Genomic DNA, 7,999 nt, shown 5'->3' on the forward strand with positions numbered 1-7,999 from the left:
TTGACTAGAATGAGGTTGGTAGAGGAAGAATTTGGAAACGTTGATGTAAGCTGATGTGAGCAGTGTGGGTCAATATATCTTTCATTATTATGTTTCTCTACTTCCTCAGATGTCTATTTCTGTTTTTAGTGTTTTGTGTGTGTGGGAGAGAGATAGTGGTTGTAACTGACACTGTATAACGGGTGTGTGTGTGTTTCTATATCACCATCTTATATATACCCTTATTATGTACAAGGCACCTTTGGAAGTCTACCAAGGGATTCCTTATTCATAGATGAATAAGAAGTTTCTGCCTATTTGTTCAAAAGCAACCAAAAATGCTAACTTATGTGCTTTCATTAAGGTATGAGCAATCCTGCATTAACCATGGAAAATGAGACTTAACTCTTCAAGCAAGATAAATTCATACTTTATAAAAGTACGATAATTTTCCCTTTATTGTTTTATATTTTTAACAGTCTTCTAATTTTATTAGGGCAAATAGTTTCCATAAACATTTTTAATAATTTGTGAGTGATTCATATAGAAGATCTTTTACCTGACTTGTGAGATTGCATTAGCCATGCTGGGGCTTCTGAGTGCAGACCTAGCTTCAGTATTAGCTGGTATTTGTGTTAACTTGATTAATTATATAAATAAGTTGATGAACAAGAGTCATTTTATATTAATGCATTAAGTGGTAGGGATCAATCCTAAAATACTGAACTATATGTAAAAATTATCTTGTCATTTTATAGGAAGTTAGAATAATTATTTTTAATTTTTCTTCATCTTTCAGAATATACAGTGGTCATATCCTTGACCATCCATTAGGAAACTCTAAGTCGAAGTGCAATATAATTATATCTCATTAATGTACTCATTAGCACACTGTCATTCCCATTTTTGGGTCATAGTAGGGCCTTATAGCATGTGTTAACCTTAAAATAATAGGTGTTCCAAATCATTTTCTTTAAGCCTTATTTTTTTTTAAACCTGCAGTTCCAAATCAGTTTCTTTAAAATATGATCTGTTTGTAAGCCTGCAGTCAATAAAAAGCTACAATAAGGAACCCCTTTGGAACAAACAACTATATAATAAACAGTTTACCGAGCTGAATATTAAAGATAGCAAGATAACTCTCTCTTTACATAACGGCAATCTAGAATCCTAAAGTCTATGAAAAGCAAGAGATTCACTTGTAAAACAAAATGATTTGCATCAAAGTTCATGGATATCTGTTTTTATTTGTCTGTTCTGGTTTTGGTAAGTTAGCCATGTATTGTCAGCAAAATGCTGACCTGGCAATTTGCCAGCTGACTAGTATCTGATTTTGGGAAGAGCAGGATCAGCTCTGAATACCTGTTGCTACAGTAGGTCAGACTGACTATAACTGGTTAAAATAGTGAAAATTTCATCTGAATTTGATTAAATAGCAAAGACATTATTAAATTTCTGAAAATAATTTTAGAATGTAACTATGAATGTAATTTTAGAGTATAGCTATAGCAAATATGAGTCACTACCAGCCAATACCACAAATAAAATATACAGAACATAGTTCTGTAAGACATAGAATTTCACAGGATTTTTTTCAATATTTTGAAATCATCAGTTGCAATAACCATTGTTTTTAAGGTCAGTGCTATTAGGAATTTTTCTGTGTGTTAAGTGTTTTACATATTTACATGGTAATATTATATAAAAGCCATCGAGACTTCCCAGTATTTTGACAATACCAGTATTGTGGTTATTTATCTCCAACACCTTGCACAATGCCAGACACATAGTAGTTTCTCAACATTTGATGGATAAGTGACAAAATTAAAACATTGAAATTAAAAATCTGACAGAAACTTGATTTTATTAATTCAAATATGGCATGATTAGGCATAATCACAAAATGGCAGCATGAATCAGCGCTATAGATCTAAAAATACCCGATTTTCTGATGTCATGTTTTCTATTCTATCGATACAACCAGTTGCAGTAACATGTTTTGTTTTCTTAAACTTTCCCTAAAGTAGCTAATAGAAACTAGACTTTTAAAAATAATTTTTTCCTGCTTTACATCTCAGATTTGCAATTCATTCCAGTTGTATTTATATCAAATAATAGTTTGATACTGATGTGCCTAATTTATATTAAATATCTTCATATTGGCCGGGCGCGGTGGCTCACGCCTGGTAATCCCAGCACTTTGGGAGGCTGAGATGGGTGGATCACAATGTCAGGAGCTCAAGACCAGCCTAACCAACAAGGTGAAACCCCATCTCTACTAAAAATACAAAAATTAGACGGATGTGGTGTGGCGCACCTGTAATCCCACCTACTCAGGAGGCTGAGGCAGGAGAATTGCTTGAACCCAGAAGGCAGAGGTTGCAGTGAGCCAAAATCGTGCCATTGCACTCCAGCCTGGGAGCTTGGGTGACAGAGCAAGACTCTAAAAAAAAAAAAAAAAAAAAAAAAAACAGAAAAAAAACACTTCATATTTTTTCTCCTATTTTTGAACTACAATAGTAAATGATGTCACCTTTTTATAAAATATTTGTTTGTTCAGCAGTTTCCAGATGGTTATAATGTGCCTAAACCCATAGTTAGTACTAAAAAGTAAATTAAATTTAGCTTACCAACCTTTCCTATCATATGGTATAAATAAAAAATGCTGGCCAGGCGTGGTGGCTCACACTTGTAATTTCAGCACTTGCGGAGGCCAAGGCAAGCAGATTGCTTGAGCTAAGGAGTTGAAGACCAGCCTGAGCAACATGGTGAAACCCCGTCTCTACCAAAAATACAAAAAGAAAAAAAATTAGCTGGGTGTGGTGGCATGTGCCTGTGGTCCCAGCCACTCCAGAGGCTGAGGTGGGAGGATGAGAGGATGACTTGAGCCAGGGAGGCGGAATTTCCAGTAAGCTGAGATGGAGATCGCATCACTGCACTCCAGCCTGGGTGACAGAGTGAGGCCCTGTCTCAAAAAACAAAACAAAACAAAACAAAGCTGTGCTTCTATGCACATGAAGTTTCAAAATCATTTCCCTAAATGTCCTTCCTGACTCAGTTGCCACTCCTAAACTCCATTCAGCCTCAGATGAATGCAGAACTAACAACATAGAACCCTGCCACTCACATTGAAGCCCCAAACCAGCAACATTGTCATGACCTGGAAGATTAATAGAAATGCAGAATCTTAGGCCTTATCCTAGACCTACTGAATCAGAGTCTGCAATTTTTTTTTTTGCATTTTAATAGGATCCTTTCGTATATGCATATTAAAGTTTGAGCAGTATTGATGTAGAGTTCCATATTCAAGAGCACGTCTACTGAGCCTGCTAGCATAGTAAACAGTTTTGAATGAGGGATATTATTGAAACAGATTATGAAATGAGTTGGTTTGTTTTGCGTGTTTATGGTTAACATAGTAGTTTCATGTTTTCTGTTTCATTTCAAGGTATCAATGCTGTAGATGGATGGAAGAGGCTTCCCACAGGAAGGTGCCACCAGTCAGTTGTGCCTATGTCCCTTTGGCTGGAAATGCAGAATATGAATTGATTAGTTCTCTCCAAGCCATTGCTTAAAATATAACATGTTTTGGATCCAATACACACATTGTTACAACTAACACAAATTCCTATTAAATATTAAAAGTAGTTCTGGTTTATTAATCAACGGGGAAAACATCTTCTCCAAAAAACTTGGAATAAATCCAAGGACCAGTTTTTACCCAAATATATGGGTAGCACAGTTTATCACATAGAAACTCCATTAATCATCTGATTTTCCGAATCTGAAAATTGAGACTATTAAGATATTAGGATTTCAGAGATTTCAAGTCACATTATAATGATAAGCATTATTCATAAAACTTGTTACCTTTAAGAAGGTGGAAGTGGCAAACCATACTTCTTTTTTTTCCTCTGATGTGAATCCAGCCTCAGACTGAGTGAACTGTAATAATTATGAATTCATTACAGAGTCCAGGTGGCCTGCAGTTGAAGATCATCAACCATTTTTGCCTCACTTAATTCCAGCCTTTTGTTTTCTGCTGGAAAATAAGTGTGGACATTGAAGCTTGAGCTCTCAAAGCAGTTGGCTGGAATACTTTTGTCAGAATACGGTACATTTCTATTACATCAGAAATATATTTTCATCTCTTCTTGTTAAATTGGGAGGAAATTTATGATAGCAATTATGAAGATTGTTTTATGACATTCTTTTGTCAGTTTGGCTTTCTAAAAATCTCTTTTTAGATTATTTCTCCTGTTGAACATAGTAAAACTATTGAATTTCTCTTAAGAATTCCTAATAGGTCAATAGATTTACCCTCCAGTGATATCTATATTATTTCTTTCTCGTCTCATCAAAATGATGACAGGTAAACTATATTTTTCCTTAAACACCTATTACAGTTAAATTATGCAAATCATTAAATAAAAATCATACAACTTTTGGAAAGTTAGTTCAACATGAACTAAAATGGCATGCTATTTGGAAATTTAGTTTGAGATAAACTAAAGTGTGTTGATGCCAGAATGTTCAGCTTCAGTAAATATAATAAGCTCTTGTGCCTTGTATGCACTATTTAAAAAAAGTTTTTTTTATTTGAGTCCAGTATAATTCATGTAAATGTTAACAATTAGAATAATACTCTGTATGCTTTTTTGATACTGATTTTGAGAATTTAAAGCAGATTACCTTTTAAAACTGGACCAACTAAGTAATTGGTATTTAATCAAAGAGAAAATGGTAATAAACTTTTCAAAATCTTTGTTAAACCAAACATTCAACACAAAATAAACTAGAAGGCCAGAGGATAATGGAATAAAAGATCATTGCAATTACTTATCCTTCCTAAAAATATAGTTTTATATTAATTGTGCTTATGGAAGAAACAATGTCAGCCAAGTCCATTTTATAGTTTGAGTGCAATTCTTTGAACAATAGAAATATCTGCAGTCTTTCACAGATTTGTATTATGCTGAAGAGTTTCATCTGACAATCTGCTTCAAGAAATCTCAGAAAATATGATAACATTTTAACTTTCATTTTAGAGCACGTTTTGGTCATTTTTAAAAATACCTAAAGTGCCAGACCGGAACCTATAGCTACTGCTAGAAGTCTTAAAAAAACCAACAGCAGCACAGGATGTATTAAGAATTATATGAAGTCAGGTTTGTTTTTTTTTTTTTTTTTTTTTCAAAGCACAGTACTGTTAGCTGTTTTTGTGGACAGGATTCGATTAAGTATTCCCTCTTGTCAAACTGGAAGCTAGGGGAAAAAGAGGGATTTTTATCCTTTACTCTTCTAGAGTACTGTTAATGCCCCTTTCCCACAGTCTTTTATATAATTAAATATATGTCAATACACATTAGAATCAGATTTGAAAAAGTTAAAACAATTTCATTGTTGTAATTGTTCCCTTTCTGTTTTCATATAGTGAATAACCTTTAAAGGGTTGTTTTGTTTTGTTTTGAATTATAGGAGTTATAATCTTTGGAGATGATTGCATATCTCATTAGATATGCAATATAAATTTATCTGAGTGAACAAAGTGCTAAATAAATAGATCTACATTTTGTACATATTTATATAAAATTTACCTTTAAGTATTTACTTTAAAAAATTTAATGGCTTAACTCGAACTTGAAGACACATACTTCAACTGTCCTTATTGTCCATTAAACTGATAATTTTGATTTTTCTTGCTTTTATAGATTTTACTATATAGGAATCAAGATTTAAGAAATTTTGCATTAAAAATAGTGTACCAATGCTTCATATACGTTAGTTATTTGCTATTATGTAGGGAAGAGGATTGTTATTTCAAAGATATATTAAAGAACAGTTGCATCTGAATATAATCATGATGCATTCAATGAAGTTCATATCCATGAATTCACTCCTAATATACCCTAATAAAGTGGTTGATCACCTACATTATCTGTCTATAAGAAACTGCCTTTGCACTGACAATGTAAATTATTTTAAGCATAAATTTTCCTAATAGTTTATTAGAGCTACTAATGGCAAAATTCATGTCTTCAATGTGGCCATAACATAGGTCTTGGGAGGGGTGGTGAGAAAATAAGGTATTTACTTTGTAGTAGTTAAGTGATTCTGAGGACAATTAGAAACAGACTATAAAACTCAACTACACTGTAATCAATAGACAACTATTGGAAATATGGCATATGTTGACAAACACTTAACTAGGGAAATCAAAGATATAAATCATGTTTATAAAAAATTAGGCACGCAATCATGTGATTCATGCTTCAAGAAAATATATGAAAAAAGTGTTACTCCATTATGTTATAAACTAGCAGATTTTCCCTATTTTGAAATGCATGTAAACGGGCTCGGCTGATTCTGAAATTGTACTGTATCATTTGGTATTTACTTATATGGTCAAATACTTGTTTGTAAAAGTGATGGTTCTGATACCTTTGATCAAACATAGATACAAACCTCAGAAAATGGTAAATGCAAAGCAGTTTACGTTGTAAATCATGATGGTGTCCTCCAGCACAACCATCCCACCCACACACCTAGACTACAGATTCTGATCTGTGAATATTTTCACCAAAGTGACATTTAAACAAGTGGATTTTTCACAAATAACACGTGTTTAATATCTTTCTGCAGAAACGTGTTCTTCTAAAGCAGAAAACCACGTGGCTTAATCCCAAATGTTTTACACTTCTTTTCCACATACTTAGCCAGTTCAGCACCGATTTCCTCTTATATGTGGAAGGAGACTATGTTACATACCTGAAGTATTACTCTTTTACAAAGATACCATTAGAATTTTCTCACTGTCTTGGTAAAAATTCCTAGATTCTACTTTTTATTGCAAGTGTTAGCAATATGATCTTGTAACGCCATGAAAAGCATTAAGTAGAAGCCAACATTAACCTAGATTTTACAACTGAGCAATCTGTTCCCCACCAGATTTCCTTTAGAATTTATTACCAAAGGATCTTATTTTGTTACAGAACACAGGAAATTGTTAAACCTTATAATGTTGCAAACCATGCATTTTCCTTTTCTCTTTTCCATAAGATTTTTTTATTGTAGTAGTGCCCTGGCTTGTAAACAGTGGACATCACTGAAAGGATGAAATCAAGTAGGCTTGTTTCAAAGAGACTCCTGTGAATCAACTATGAATATGAAGTATCTCCCAGAACAATGTTGAGTGTTTCAGGAGACTCTGAAACAGGGCACCCATTTTTTTTTTCCTTCCTCAAAATAGTCTCCTTGAAATGTGAGCAAAGAACTATGATGATGCAGTCCAGGTATCTAATAGCTCAATCACCAACACCGCTGAGAATTGTTCTTATACCAGCAAAAAGTTCAAATACAATAACCTGGGCAATGCCAACAGAAGACACTTTTAATCATTTGCAGACCTTTCTTGTTGCAGGAAAGTGAGGGCAAAAACAAACTGGTGAAAAATGTTCAAAAATAGATCTTTTTGATGTTCATAGCCAGTATTCAGTATTTCTGTATTGTTTACAATTGGGGGAAAATGTCTGTTAAGGCTAATCATCTGAGTGATTTGAGTAGCAATTAAACCAAAGGGAAACTTTTAATAAGTTATTTTAAGCCCTGGTTTATGGCTAGTTCCCTTTTGCTCAGGAAAAATAGTACTACTTTATGGTTTATGAAAACCTATGATTTATGTTGCATCTTCCGGGGAAGGTTTAACAGTACAAGGAGCTGAATCCTACCTGAAATTATTAATGCTTAATATATTGCTTCTGTTTGATTGATAAAGGTGCTTAATCAATTGAAAAAAAAACGCATAATGCTTCAAGGTAAAATTCCGTTGATTCTGAATTTAAAAAGATACTACAGAATGCGTCAGTTCTCCTGTTGTATTTTTCTCAGTTATGAGAGCAAGGCTATTTTGTCAGTTTAGATTTTGTGTCTTTTTCTGTCAGTATGTATGGCTCCCTAATTGAAAACATCTTAAATGAACTAATCAAACACTTATTGTGTGAAAGCTGAATACTTTAAAAAG

At 33.4% G+C, this 7,999-nt stretch overlaps 1 protein-coding gene across 8 annotated transcripts in view; it reads left to right on the top strand.

Moving 5' to 3' along the window:
• Positions 1-7,971, top strand: part of ZDHHC2 (zDHHC palmitoyltransferase 2) — a 68,318-nt gene extending 60,347 nt beyond the window's left edge. For all 8 annotated transcript variants that reach the window (XM_011544544.4, XM_011544545.4, NM_016353.5 and 5 more), the window contains 2 exons: positions 344-418; positions 3,428-7,971. In XM_011544544.4, the coding sequence (XP_011542846.1) occupies positions 344-384 (41 nt within the window). In that variant the 3' untranslated portion in view covers positions 385-418; positions 3,428-7,971. The remainder of the gene's footprint in view (positions 1-343; positions 419-3,427) is intronic.
• Positions 7,972-7,999: the final 28 nt, after the last annotated feature.

This window comes from Homo sapiens, chromosome 8, assembly GCF_000001405.40.
Source record: "Homo sapiens chromosome 8, GRCh38.p14 Primary Assembly".
Taxonomy (NCBI): domain Eukaryota; kingdom Metazoa; phylum Chordata; class Mammalia; order Primates; family Hominidae; genus Homo; species Homo sapiens.